The following is a 15944-nucleotide window of genomic DNA, read 5'->3' as shown; positions in this document are numbered from 1 at the left end:
TGAGATATTCCTACAACATATTTGTGCATATCACAGCAGTTATTTATGGCAGCTACGTATTGTGATTAGTTGGTGTTCATTTCATACCAGCTGTTAAATGTTCTAAATATCAACCCTTCCTATAAATAACTATATTCTAATTCTATGTAGAAAATGATGTATCACTAAAAATGAGATAAAGACAGATAAACCGTTAGATGTGGTCAGTGGAGAGAGAGAGTACTTTTAAGTTAAAGGAGTGGCGACTAGGAGGAAGAACTTTTCAGAGGAGATGTTACTGAATACAGGCGTTTGTGAATGGAAATTTTTCAAGATCCACCGAGTTACCCTTCAGATATTTCAGCTTGCTTTCTCCAGCAACAACCCTGCCAGTGGGACATCCTCATCAAACTTCAACATGTGAGATGATTTTTACATCTTTTAAATAATCTATGTAACTTTTGTGGCTTTGTGTGCTGGAATCTGTATACTTCCAAGACAGTGTAGACAGTATTCAGAGGTCAGTGTTTAATGACCTTGGTTTGCATGGCAGCAAAAATTAACTTGGAAAAACTGCATAGACAGATGTGCTTGATAGCTAGAGGCAGTGCCTATAATTTGGTTATATTTTAATGATGGAAGCTTGGAGGATATTCCATTTCAAGTGTAATGAAGTAGTCCATAAACAAGTAGGACAGCATCTAATCACATTCTATCATACAGCCCCATAAGCAGTCAACTTGTGGTTTGACTATTTGATCTTTAAGGATGAAAACAATTTGGTCAATGATAGTTCTTTGAGTAAAGAAATGTAATTGTGTCTGTCATTGGTCATTTTTAATGTTCGTTTAGGGAAGAGACTGACATACTCTTCATTAATTCTTCACCAGCCAATATAGTAGTTGGCACATTAAAAATGCTCAACATATACTTTTTCCCCCTTGAGCTAAAGCAATCAACTAAAGCATACATATCTTTCTTAATGTAGGATGCTTGACATTTGAAAGTATACCTATGAGATGTGACCATTTGGTCTTTGAACAATTTAGTCATTAATTATTTCTGCAAATATTTATTGAACAATTACTATATGTCAGCACTGTGCTAACATAGTCTATTTTGTGCAACCCCTACTTTCTAGGATCATATAATTTTGTTAAAAAGGAAAGATTAGTGCACATAAGAGATTAATATGTAAGGCAATTCAATCTAACTGCCTATATTTTCCATGCTTATATCTAGACTTCTGAGAATTACTGGAGGAAAAAAACCTAGAACAGTGCTATTATTAATCTACAGTCTCCAAACCCTCACTAGACAATCAACACAGCTCTTTGCCATTTTATGCAATTCTCTAAGCAATTATATCTTCCATTTTCCCTAATAGCTATTCCAACACATCTGTGATTTCTTCATTCTCTGACCTCACTACTTCCCTCATTCTTGGTTGATGATCATCCTTTCTTGTTACCAGAGTAAATGGAAGATGAGAACTTCTTTAGTGTCCTGTTATTATCCTACAATCTTAGCATTCATCTCCACTGTCCTTTCCTCCTTTTCTAATTCAGTGGAGGGAGTGACCTCTTATCTTCATTTATTCACTTATTGGATACTTGGATATTTCTTGATATCCAAGTACCAAGGGCTGAATGTACATTAATGGTTCTACAGACATGGTTCTACAGTCATGGTTCTTTTCCTTGTGGAGACTGCACTCCGCCTAAAACTACTTATTACTTTCACCTAAACATTTCTGAGTTTCTCAACTAAGCCATGTTATCTCTCAATGCTGGGTCTTTGAGTATATATTTCCCTCTGCAGGGATGATGTCTCCCCACTCCCTTATTTTCTTGGTTCATTGTTATCTTCCAGGTCTCAGATTGCATATAATGACCTGAAGTTATCCTTCTCTGACACTACCCCCTCTAGCCCAAGGTAGGCCGCCCACCTATATGCTCCCATAGCCACTATTCCTCTCATAGCAGCACTTACCACACTGCATTTTCATGATTTTTATACTTGTCCTATTCTGTAGTAGAAAATAAGCTGCATGAGGACAAGAACACTAGATCTCTAATTTATTGATGTAACAACAATATTTAGGCTGCTACTTGACACATAAGTAGTCATCAGTAAGTGTTTAATGAGTTAAATAGAGGAAGAAAGGCTGGCACAGGTTAGTTCTACTGGAGTACAACTTAGAAATGCAAGAGTTTGTTCCACGCTTCTTCCCTAGCTTTTAGTGGTTGCTTACAATCTTTGATGTTCCTTGGCTTACAGATTTATCATTCTAATCGCTGTGTCACTTACCACATAAATTGCTCCCTGTGTATTTTTTATTTCTGTGTCCAAATTTCCTCTTCTTATAAGGGCACCAATCAATGGACCCTAATCCTACCCTGATCCAATATAACCTCATCTTCTTAAGTCACATCTGCAAAGAACTTCTTTCCAAATAAGGTTAATTACATTCACAGGTACCAGGAGTTAGAACTTCAGCACATCTTTCTGGGGGACATAGTTCAACCTATAACAGATGCCATGTGAGTAGATTGTGGTGTATGGGGCCAGATGGATGGGATTAAGGATGGTTTGTAATATAGAAATAGAGGTGGAACTACAGATCAGTGTCTAAAAACTTCAGTTATTATGGTAAGGAGGCTGTGGCAGGTTGAAGAGATCTTTTCAGGACAGGACAGAGGAATGGCCAAATCCATAAAAGAAGAAAAGCATTGAGGCTAAGGAACTGAATACTCTAGAGAGAGAGAGAGAAAAAAAGAAAAAAGAAAAAAGTAAAGCCCTAACGTGCAGGGGAAGATTTCATTTTACAAAAGAGAAATAATGTTTCTTCCTTTGAACAAAGGGAAAGCAGAAAGGATAGGTATAGAAATGTGAATTTTTCAGAATAAAATAGGTATTAAAGCAATGTGCTAAAGGTATGAGTGGGTATTACAAGATATGTAATAGAAGAAAAAGTTTTGGGCTGTGGCTATAGTAAGTTAATTGGGTGACCTGTGAGCAGTTCTTCAAGCAGGATTGAAGATGCTTTGTCAGTGCCTTAGAAATTTTAAGCAGAATCACTTCTTTCAACCTCAGATTTTGTCTTTGGAATCCAGAGAATATCCAAAGAGTAAGAAGATAATGCTTTGGCTTTTAATTAACCATATTGGCAGTCGCCAGTGTGATTAACTACTCTCTCAAATTAAAATAAAACATACTTTTTTTTGGTATTTGTTAAAGCAAAATTTTCTTTCTAAAAAGGAAGAGATGACAAGTAGTCTCTCATCAGTGTAGACCAGTTCCTACAGGGAAGGGTTTTTTTGTTGTTTTTTAGCTGAAACTTATGCACATTCATAAGTTAAGTTGCCTGTGAGGGTGGGTGTTTTCTCAGACAGGGCCAGCCAGGGTTCAAGATAGATTCTGTGTTTCCTTTAATAAAACCATGTAGACAGAATGTGCAGAAAACTACTAGTGCTTTCTGTAAAGCAGTAAACACCTTACCTAGCAGATCCTAAATAAACTCTGACAGGACCAGTATGCTTAATAATTTTGAATTGTTTAGAGATGGCCCAGAGCTCTCTCCTAAGAAAGTCACATGAAATAAAGTTGAACCAATTCACTGAATGATTATAAGACATCATGGGGCTTAGTTCTCTACACCCGCAAAGAATATTCGGGTACATTGTAATCATAACTTTTCAAAGCATTTGAGTATTTATTCTGAGCTTCAGCACAGTATCAATCTCTGCTGCCAAGCTTCTGCTTCAGGCCCCACCTCTCACTGACACCTCCTCCTCAGCGTAGGCGGGCAGCAAGGGAAAAGAGTGAACCACGATCCGTTCATGGTGTTCTCTTTTTACAGGATGGGAAAAAGATTTTGTGTGGAAAAACTTTCAGTTAAAGGCTTTAATCAGGTTCAGACTTCCCTGTGCTTATGCCTGCATTTCTTATGTTGACATGAGAAATCACTGCTTGGAGATATGCAAGAAAATTGGAAAGATGAACCCAGCTTTCTATAATTGATGTAATCCTGAAATTCTGTATGTGCGTCAAGTGATTGCCAAACAGGTCATTTTTAATTACTTGAGCAATTAGGTGCTTAAATTTGGCATGCCTTTTTCTTTTACTAGAGTACTGAAATATTCACTGATTTTACTTCCTTTTGTGAAATGATTACTTACATTTTTCTGTGTCAGCTTTGTTTATGACCCACATGCAGTAATGTTTAGTCTTATTCTTAATAGCCCAACATTCCACAGTAGGTGGTGTTATAATCAGCGTTTTGGGGTGAGAACTACCAACTCTGTTCACTGACTTTATTTTATAATGGACTAGTTTGTCATCATGTGATGGTCCAGAGCTATTTCTTTTTCATGGACACTTCTTTTCAAAATGGTAACCAATTTTCTTTAGTTGTTACAAAACTATCACTTCCCCGAAATCAGTATTTTGGCCATTTTAAGTGTTCCTTACACAAATCTTCATCCAATTTGAGTCAGGAACTCATTGTATTCATTTCAGTAGGGACTACCCTGTCTTACTGTATCATAAATACATGTTTTGATTGCCAGGCATTTTTGCTTCAATTTTTGGATCAGTAAAGTGGGACTTTATTAGCCCTGTGTGACATAACTCAGGACGGTTGACTCTTTAGTCATTTATCCAGCCTGGAATCTGAAGACATGTTGGTTTTAAATGTGCATTTTCTTTTATCAGTTCTAACTTCACCTATCAAGACCCAGTCCAAATGCTAAACTTCTGTTAATTATTCTCCTTCTCCTCTAAGAAGTAAGTCATGCTTCCCTCACATAATGCTGGTAGCAATATAGAACTCATCCAAACCAGACAGATTATGCCAAAGTGTTGGTGTCATGTTTTCCCAACAACCTGACAGTTTATTGAGAGCACTTTATTTATCAAGTATCTATTATTGCTAGATAATAGATATACTTACTCCTTTATTACAAAGAAATGGAAACTCAAATTTGCATAGTTATAAGACGAAAGAATCAGAAAGTGAAGCTGCCTCTGCTGTTGTCCCATTGCCTGCTCAGTGCTTACCATAAACCCTGTACAGGTTGAGGATGGAGAGCTCATCAAAGTTTACCTGAGGCAATGTGATGCCTTATACAGTTACTGACTGCAGCTACCATGGCTCACTGTTTCTGCCCCTTGCTCATTCAAAGCCACTAATTTCATCTTTAAGGGGGGACTTTCTCAGAGACATGGGACTTTCCTTGTCCTCTTATATTCATTTGTTCATTCATTCTTTCACTTAATACATATTTATGAGGCAAGTATGTAACTGGTTTTGTTCTACTTGCATAGTACAAAATAGACCAAAAAACCATTCATTACAGAGCTTATGTTTTCACCAAGGAGACAGAACATAAAAAACATATAAACAAAATATGTAGATGACTTATATAGTGTATTACAAGGTAATAAGTGCTAAGAGAAAATGAAAACTAGAGCAGGATAAGGAAAAAAATATATATAGTCAGGGGACAGCATTAAATAGGGAGCTTAGGTTCCAGCTCCTACAGAAATTGAGACTGGAACAAAGCCCTGAAAGAAGCATATTCCATGTAGCAGAACAGCTGTAGCAAAGACCCTAAATTGACAGTCTATGACTATGTCGGAGTACTCTAGAAATATCAAGGCTGTAAGAGTACAGCTAACAAGAGAAGTGAAGGACCTCTTCAAGAACTACAAACCATTGCTCAAGGAAATCAGAGATCACACAAACAAATGGAAAAACATTCCATGCTCATGGATAGGAAGAATCAGTATCATGAAAATGGCCATACTGCCCAAAGTAATTTATACATTCAATGCTATTCCCATCAAACTACCATTGACATTCTTCACAAAACTAGAAGAAGCTATTTTAAAATTCTTATGGAACCAAAAAAGAGCCTGCTAAGCAAAAAGAACAAAGCTGAAGGCATCCATAGCTAGCCACATGCAGAAAATTGAAGCTGGATCCCTTCCTTATACCTTGTACAAAAATTAACTCAAGATGAATTAAAGACAAGTATAAAAGCCAAAACTATAATAAACCTAGAAGAAAATCTAAGAAATACCATTCAGGACATAAGCACAGGCAAGAATTCTTAACGAAAATGCCAAAAGTAATTGCAACGAAAGCAAACATTGACAAACAGGATTTAATTAAACTAAAGAACTTCTGCACAGCAAAATAAACTATCATCAGAGTTCCAGACAACCTACAGAATGGGAGAAAAATTGTATAATCTATTCATCTGACAAAGGTCTGATGTCCAGAGTCTACAAGGAACTTAAACAAATTTACAAGAAAAAAACAAACAACCCCATTAAAAAGTGCACAAAGAACATAAACACACTTCTCAAAAGAAGACACCCATGCTGCCAACAAATGTATGAAAAAAGGCTCAACATCAGTAATCATTAGAGAAATGCAAATCTGCAAATCAAGACCAAAATGAGATATCACCTCACACCAGAGAGATGGCTATTATTAAAAAGTCAAAAAAGTCCTTGCCCATGCCTATGTCCTGAATGGTAATGCCTAGGTTTTCTTCTAGGGTTTTTATGGTTTTAGGTCTAACGTTTAAGTCTTTAATCCATCTTGAATTAATTTTTGTATAAGGTGTAAGGAAGGGATCCAGTTTCAGCTTTCTACATATGGCTAGCCAGTTTTCCCAGCACCATTTATTAAATTGGGAATCATTTCCCCATTGCTTGTTTTTCTCAGGTTTGTCAAAGATCAGATAGTTGTAGATATGCGGTATTATTTCTGAGGGCTCTGTTCTGTTCCATTGATCTATATCTCTGTTTTGGTACCAGTACCATGCTGTTTTGGTTACTGTAGCCTTGTAGTATAGCTTGAAGTCAGGTAGCAAGATGCCTCCAGCTTTGTTCTTTTGGCTTAGGATTGCCTTGGCGATGCGGGCTCTTTTTTGGTCCCACATGAACTTTAAAGTAGTTTTTTCCAATTCTGTGAAGAAAGTCATTGGTAGCTTGATGGGGATGGCATTGAATCTATAAATTACCTTGGGCGGTATGGCCATTTTCACAATATTGATTCTTCCTACCCATGAGCATGGAATGTTCTTCCATTTGTTTGTATCCTCTTTCATTTCATTGAGCAGTGGTTTGTAGTTCTCCTTGAAGAGGTCCTTCGTGTCCCTTGTAAGTTGCACTTCATGTCTAAAACACCAAAAACAATGGCAACAAAAGCCAAAATTGACAAATGGGATCAAATTAAACTAAAGAGCTTCTGCACAGCAAAAGAAACTACCATCAGAGTGAACAGGCAACCTACAAAATGGGAGAAAATTTTCGCAACCTACTTATCTGACAAAGGGCTAATATCCAGAATCTACAATGAACTCAAACAAATTTACAAGAAAAAGACAAACAACCCCATCAAAAAGTGGGCAAAGGACATGAACAGACACTTCTCAAAAGAAGACATTTATGCAGCCCAAAAACACATGAAAAAATGCTCACCATCACTGGCCATCAGAGAAATGCAAACAAAAACCACAATGAGATACCATCTCACACCAGTTAGAATGGCGATCATTAAAAAGTCAGGAAACAACAGGTGCTGGAGAGGATGTGGAGAAATAGGAACACTTTTACACTGTCGGTGGGAGTGTAAACTAGTTCAACCATTGTGGAAGTCAGTGTGGCGATTCCTCAGGGATCTAGAACTAGAAATACCATTTGACCCAGCCATCCCATTACTGGGTATATACCCAAAGGACTATAAATCTTGCTGCTATAAAGACACATGCACACGTATGTTTATTGTGGCACTATTCACAATAGCAAAGACTTGGAACCAACCCAAATGTCCAACAATGATAGACTGGATTAAGAAAATGTGGCACATATACACCATGGAATACTATGCAGCCATAAAAAATGATGAGTTCTTGTCCTTTGTAGGGACATGGATGAAATTGGAAATCATCACTCTCAGTAAACTATTGCAAGAACAAAAAACCAAATGCCGCATATTCTCACTCATAGGTGGGAATTGAACAATGAGAACACATGGACACAGGAAGGGGAACATCACACTCTGGGGACTGTTGTGGGGTGTGGGGAGGGGGGAGGGATAGCTTTAGGAGATATACCTAATGCTAAATGACGAGTTAATGGGTGCAGCACACCAACATGGCACATGTATACATATGTAACTAACCTGCACATTGTGCACATGTACCCTAAAACTTAAAGTATAATAATAATAAAATAAAATAAAAAAATCTATTGGTTTAAAAAAAAAGTCAAAAAAACAACAGACACTGGTGAGGTTGTGGAGAAAAAGGAATGCTTTTACACTGTTGATGGGAATATAAATTTGTTCAATCATTGTGGAAGAGAGTGTGGCAATTCCTCAAAGACCTAGAGGAAAAAAATTCAACCTAGCAATCCCATCACTGGGTATATATCCAAAGGAATATATATCATTCTATTATAAAGATAAATACACATGTATTTTCATTGCAACACTATTCCCAATAGCAAAGACATGGAATCAACCTAAATGCCAATCAATGATAGACTGGATGTAGAAAATGTGGTTCATATACACCATGGAATACTATGTAGCCATAAAAAGGAATGAGATCATGTCCTCTACAGGGACATGGATGGAGCTGGAAGCCATCATTCTCAGCAAAGTAACACAGGAACAGAAAACCAAACACCACATGTTGTCACTTGTAAGTGGGAGCTGAATGATGAGAACACATGGACACATGGAGGAAAACAACACACACTAGGGCTTGTCAAGGGGAGGGAAGCAGGGAAGAAGAGCATCAGGAAGAATAGCTAATGGATTCTGGGCTTAATATCACATTGATGGGTTGATCTTTGCAGCAAGCTACCAGGGCACACATTTACCAATGTGACAAACCTGGACATATTGCATATGTACCCCAGAACTTAAAAGTTAAAGGCAAAAAAATAAAAATAAAAAAAGAAACGTCAAGGATGCAAGTGTGTTTTGAGTGGAATGAAGGAGGGAAAAATTAGCTAATGAAGGGAAGACATGTGAGATTAATAACAGGGATGGGGGACAGGGGCATTAGTCATGGCATGCCTTAGCCAGTCTAGGTCTTATAAGGTAGAGAGCCTGCCCCTGCTTTAACAGAGTCTATGCAAGAAAAACCCAGGTAATTTGTGTTTGGTCTTATTGCTCAGTGGTCCTAGCCCACATTTGTCTTCATAGAATAGCTATCCAAAAATTGCTTGCATTATCTGGGTTTAGAACATTGCTTCAGACATGTTTCAACTACACTCACTCATATGAACTCACTTTTGGGTCATTATTATTACAGTGTTTCTGGTCAATGGATAAAAAATACAGTTAGATAAAAGAAATAGATCTTTCTAGTGTTCAGTAGTGCAATAGGGTGGCTATAGTTAATAATGTATTGTGTATTTCGAAATAACTAAGAGTAGAATTAAAATGTTCCTAACACTAAGAAATGATAAATGTTTAAGGTAATGGATATCCCAATTATCCTGATTTGATCATTACACATTGTATACTTGTATCAAATTATCATGTGCACCCTATTTACATTTATTATGTATCCATAACAACTAAAAATTAAAAATGGAAAAAAAATTCTTTACATTTACTTTGGCCGTGCTCGATAGCAGCAGGTAATACAACGCACAGTATGTACTCAGGAGATGCTTATTGAAAGAATGGATGTGTGAATGAATAAATGAATGAGGATAGATGCAATCTTATAGCACAGATAGATATTTCCACCTGTAAATAAACATAAATTCTCAATGTAGACATAAACTACAGATTTATTCATCATCTGAATTGAATATTTAGAATATGATTAAGTGTTAAATAAATTTTAATTGTTTTTAAACACATGCATGTTATGTCAAAGTAAAGGAAATTGGAAAAATTACTAGTTGTGTACATTCAGAAACATGCTCTGGCTCTGAGAGGAACATTTACTAAAAATACCTTGCTTCACCTTGAATAGAGTCACTAGTTAAAAAGAAGCACATAAACCCAATCTCAAGAAAAAATGTTACTCGATTTTTATCTATCTATCTATCTATCTATCTATCTATCTATCTATCTATCATCTATCTATCTACAGTATCCATAGTGCTTTCATTGTCTTTGTGCAGTCTTCAACTTCAAATGTCAACTACATACTTGCTCTGTTTGTTGAACTTACCCGTTTTTATGGTGGTAATTTATTTCTACAGCTCTTCTTGTAGCTAAGACCGTGGCATTTACTGCTGGCATAGTGGATGTAAATTGGAGTCTCTGAATTTGTTTTAGCCTTCTCTTTTCAGAGTTTGGAATAACCTCTGTACTTTTATAAATATGGTAGATTGACCTTAGCACGTGGCTAAGAAACTTTTGTAAATACATTTTTTAAAACTTCCCTATTTTCATGTATAATAAAGTAACAGTTTTGGGAAACATGAGCTGATATGTATTTTAAATTTTATAGGAAAAGCCAGTTTGGGGTATTTTACTCTTTGGTCATCATTTGCTTAATAAACAAATTGTAAATCTGAGGCAAACAAATATATTCATTGTTCCATGGGGTGGCAAAGCATCAGTAAAAATAATTACTCACATCACAAGGAAATTAGATAACACTTGCTTTAATTGCCCTATCAATTTAAATCAATTTTCCATTTATTTTTAACAACTATTATGGTTAATTTAACGATCATTGCATTTCAAATATAATTCCAGAGATGTTGCTTTATAATTTACTATGCCATCATTTTTCAATTAACTATTTATGCTATCTTAAGAGTGCATAACCTTACCCAATATTTATTCAATAAAAGTATAGTGAAGTAGAGTTAATATTTTTAAGTATTTTTTATTATTGTTGTATAAAATGCCAAATATTTTAATGATAGCTTTATTATTTTACTAGGTGTGTGGTTTTTCTAAAAAAGTCTTAAGCCAAGTAAGCTATAGAAATTATGTCTGTAGTCAAAAGGCCCTTGATTAATATCTGTCTTCTTGAGTAATTTGCATGTTAATTATCTTATGATTGTAAAATGCAATGAAAATGTATGCTGCAAGTATTGTACTGAATGAGCATTCAAACATATTCTGAAAGAGATTTTTAAAAATTCTTATACGTTTAAAGAGTCTATTAATTATTCCTTTAAAATGATCTCATAATAACTTTTTAAAATACATTCATGTGTCATTTAACAATGGGCATGCATTCTGAGAAATACATCATTAGACAATGTCATCATTGTTATGGGAACATAATAGAGCGTACTTAGCAAACTGAAATAGAATAGACTACTACAAGCCTAGGCTATGTAGTATAGCCTGTTGTTCCTTGGATACAAACCTGTATACCATGTTACTATACTGCGTACTGTAGGCAATTGCAAAACAACGATAACTATTTGTGTAACTTAACATATCTAAACATAGAAAAAGTACAGTAAAAAATAAAAGATAAACAACGGTACATCTGTACAGGGCATTTAGCATGAGTGGAACCTATAGGACTGAAAATTGCTCTGGGTAAATCAGTGAATGAGTAATGAGTAAATGTGAAGTCCTAGTACATTATTGTACACTACTGTAGACTTAAAGAACACTGTACACTTAGGCTAGATTAAGTTTATTTTTAAAAAGTTTCAATAATTAACCTTAGCTCACTGTAACTTTTTTACTTTATGAACTTTTTGACTCTTTTGTAATAACACTTAGCTTAAAACAAACATATTGTACAGCTATACAAAGTATTTTCTTTTTTCTATTCTTATTCTATAAGCTTTTCTTTTTTTTTTTTTTTTTTTACACGTTAAACTTTTTGTTAAAAATGAAGACACAAACACACACATTAGCCTAGGCCTACCCAGGGTCAGGATCATCAGTATCATTGTCTTCTACCTTCACATCTTGTCCAACTGGAAGATGTTCAGGAGCAATAACATGTAAAATGTTACAGCATGGATCTGTCATCTCCTGTAATAATAATGCCTTCTTGTAGGATACCTCCTGAAAGAGTTGCTTGAGGCTTTTCTACAATTAACATTTTTTTTAATAAGGAGAGGGGTACACTCAAATATAACAATAAAAAGCATAGTGTAGTAAATACATAAACCAGGAACATAGTTATTTATTATCATTATCAAGTATTATTTATTGTTTACAATTGTATATGCTATACTTTTATATATGTGACTAGAAATGCAGTAGGTTCATTTACACTGCATCACCACAAACACCTTAGTAATCATTATGCTATGATGTTACAATGACTATGATGTCACTTGGCAATAGCCATTTCTCAGCTCCATTATAATCTTTTGGGCCCATCATCGTATGTGTACTCTATCACTGATCAAAACATTGTTATGCAGTGCATGACTGTCCTCTATTCTTGTTATTGCTTCATAGTTTAATATAAGTTAAGATTGTATAAGCCATAGTACAGTGAAAATCATCTCTTAAAAGAGACAATCGCCATGTTTAAAATGATTTGATATTCTGCCATGTTATAAAAATAATATAGCCTAAGTATACATTTTAAAGTTTTTGGCAGGACGTGGTGGCTCATGCCTGTAATCCCAGCACTTTGGGAGGCCAAGTTAGGTGGATCACCTGAGGTCAGGAGTTCAAGACCAGCCTGGCCAACATTTTCAGTGTCTACTAAAAATTTAAAAAAGTAGTCAGACATGGTGGCGTGTGCCTGTTATCCCAGCTACTCAGGAGGCTGAGGCAGGAGAACCGCTTGAAGCCGGGAGGCAGAGGTTGCAGCGAGCTGAAATCATACCACTGCACTCCAGCCTGGGCGACAGAGCGAGACTATCTCAAAAATTAAATTAATTAATTAATTAATTAATTTTTTAACATTCTTTTTATTCTTTATTTTCCAATAGAATATTTTTAAGGAATATTTTTAATTTTTTAGACTGTATACTGGAATAATTCACTTTTTTGTGTGACTAGTCTCACAATTAGTTAATCAGTTAATAACAATAAATGCTAGGAAATATAAAATATGACAAGGTGGCAAGAGAACAAAACATGAAAGGCAAGCATCTAGCTTCTTTTCCTTATCTTCTCTCTGAAATTATTACATGTATATAAACAGTGTAACTTATTCATGGCTCTTGCCTCAGAATTTGTGCAATTTTTGAACAATTCTATTTCTCATCTTGAAATATCAAGAGTATCCAGGTCTCTGCCCAAGTGATTGGCAGTACTTCTGTTCTCTATGCTAGAGTAACAACAGCAATGAAAATGAGCCCATAGAGTCAACAATGAGCAGGACTATACTTGTCTTTTTCCTGGCTCACCTAGGATTCCTCCACACCCTTCACCTGATCCCTGCTCTGGCCAGTTACCCTTATAAACAGGATAGCTGAGGAACAGCAGTTAGGCATACAGTCTGGAAATAGAACAAAACTACTCACATGGGGTTGACTTCAAAATCTTTGCCTCATTTGCATTAACAATTCTTCAAATATTTAAATAACGAGATTGAAATACAGTTTTTAGTGTTATTTATTGCTGTTACAATAAGTTGAGGATTCATTTTTAAAAACTGTTAAAATGTGGCTAACTGCATTTTCTAAAAACAACTACAACAACAAAACAAGGCTTTCCATTTTCTGTTCCTTTCTTATAGGTTTAGGCTTCAGTATTGCAGGAGGTGTGGGGAACCAACACATTCCTGGAGACAACAGCATTTATGTAACTAAAATTATAGATGGAGGAGCTGCACAAAAAGATGGAAGGTTGCAAGTAGGAGATAGACTACTAATGGTGAGTGTGACTCCAGCAAAACTGTGTGTATATTTATAAAGCTCTTGTTTTCCAGTGTATGACTGTCTTTGTCAGTTCAGGCTGCCATCACAAAATACCACAGGGTGGGTGGCTTAAAATGGCAGAAATCTATTTTCTCACAATTCTGGAGACTACAAAGTCCAAGGTTCCAACCGATTAGGTTTCTGGTGAGGGCTCTCTTCCTGACTTGCAGGTGGCCACCTTCTCACTGTGTCCTCACATGGCCTTTCCTGGGTGTTTATGCAGAGAGAGATCTGTCTCTCTCTTTCTCTTCTTACAAAGCCACCTCTTACAAGGCCCAGTCCTATTGGATTACAGCACCATCTTTAACTCATTTAACCTTAATTATCTCCTATAGAGCCTATCCTCAAATACAGTCACAGGGAGGTTAGGGCTTCAACATATGATTTTGTGAGGGGTCCACAATTTAGAACTTGGACAAAAATTGAAAAGAAGAGACAGCAGATTTATGAGTAAGAGATTTCAAAAGTACATGTACAATGTATCTATTTTGTTGACATTTTCAAAACAAATCTAAATTTTCATTAATTTTCTTAGATACACATGGCATAGAGATTATCTGTTGTTCTTCCAACATAATGTGTCTCCTATTAGGGAGAGCAATTACTATTTATAGACTGCTGGAGAGGTGGGGTTTGCATAACAATAGAAACAACACCCTGGCTTACTGATAAGCGTATTTCCACAGTCCTTTGTGCAACCAGTATAGACACAGCTCCTGACTTCCAAGAATTTATAATCTGAGTTCTGCTACATGTGTAAATGGATCTCTTCCTTTCCTCCCCTTAGACAGGGTTATAGCTATTTCATTTGCCAGCTTCTCACATGCTTCAGTAGTCCTAGGCAGTGATTGACATTGACACACAGCCAGTCTTTCTGAACCATGGAGTTATATGATAACCTAAAGCAAAATTAAGGCGATTATAAGCAACAAAGCATTTGGGACTGTGTTAATAAAACTGCCTTATGTCCATTTACTGTTGTATGCCAAAATCTACAGGATAATAATCGAATATTGTAAATTAATAGTAGGTAGCTCTCAAGTAAGATTAGTGTATCTGTCTAGTCACATGTCTACCCTTGTAAAACAGGACTTCTAATCTGTCTGCAAGGAGCCATTATCTCCAACAATTTTGTGAGAAGTGTCTGGGGAGGATCAACCCCCAATCTCAACAGAAAATTAATTTTTATGACCTGTGCAAGTTTTGGAGGTTGAACCTCCAAATTTTATATTTATTTGCCTACTTCCCTCAGCTTTAGAGAGCTGTGTTTAATCGCAGTGGTCTAATTTCATAGTTGCCAATGACCTTTGTGTTCAGTAAGCTTTGTGTTAGATAAGATCTTTGTAATAATCTTGATAGCTAACATTGACCTGGCATTTACTAAGTTCCATGTTCTTTTATAAAGGGCTTTTTTGTAATGTAACATATTTCTAACAGCAGTACATTTTATATAAGCAAAAAAGAATTGAGATGTAGACAGGTTTTCTGACTTGCCCATAGTCATATGTTTAATAATGGACAAAACTGGGTTTCAAATTGAGGCAATCTGGCTAGCACCACTCATTACTACCAAGCTATACTGCCTCTTGTGCAACATGGTTTCATTAGTTTCCTTGAATTTGTCAGTCAGTTCTTTCCTTTCCTCCTTTATTCATTATTGTCATTCATTAATTACTTTTTTAATAAGTACATGCTGCCCACCTACTGTGTCTCAGGCAGTAGCTGCTATTCAGGAAGGAACTTTGTCTTGAGAAAACTGGATGGGCAAAAAATATACCATTAATGACTTCAGTCAAAGTTAAAGTTAACAGTTGTGGGCTGCTTTACCACCTGAAGCCACTACCACTTTCATTCTCAAGCAATTCTGAATTTTTGTTTGTTTGTTTGTTTGCTTGTTTGTTTTTGATGTAAAAGTTTGTTCTTATGATGTTGTTCTATCTTCTGGACAACAAAGGTTGTCATTAAGGTATAAGACCTGAACAACTTCTTTCTGGAATATAAACTTTATTGCTTGAAATGTTGTCTTGGGAATAGAATAAATTGTGATAACCATATTCTACATAGTGCTAAGTTGAAAAATGAAGACCGTTTCGTTCTCAAGTAATGACTGTCTT

The 15944-nt window shown here is 35.9% G+C and overlaps 1 protein-coding gene across 52 annotated transcripts in view; it reads left to right on the top strand.

Annotated features, from left to right (window-relative positions):
- Positions 1-15944, top strand: part of DLG2 (discs large MAGUK scaffold protein 2) — a 2173362-nt gene that overhangs the window by 1634082 nt on the left and 523336 nt on the right. For all 52 annotated transcript variants that reach the window (NR_165353.1, NM_001351274.2, XM_017017256.3 and 49 more), the window contains one exon: positions 13650-13786. Coding sequence is in view for 51 of the 52 variants with exons in the window: in NM_001351274.2 (NP_001338203.1) it covers positions 13650-13786 (137 nt within the window). In the remaining variant the exon portion in view is untranslated. The remainder of the gene's footprint in view (positions 1-13649; positions 13787-15944) is intronic.

This window comes from Homo sapiens, chromosome 11, assembly GCF_000001405.40.
Source record: "Homo sapiens chromosome 11, GRCh38.p14 Primary Assembly".
NCBI classification, from domain to species: Eukaryota; Metazoa; Chordata; class Mammalia; order Primates; family Hominidae; genus Homo; species Homo sapiens.
The sequence above is the reverse complement of the archived record's forward strand: the minus strand, read 5'-3'. Positions and strand labels throughout refer to the sequence as shown.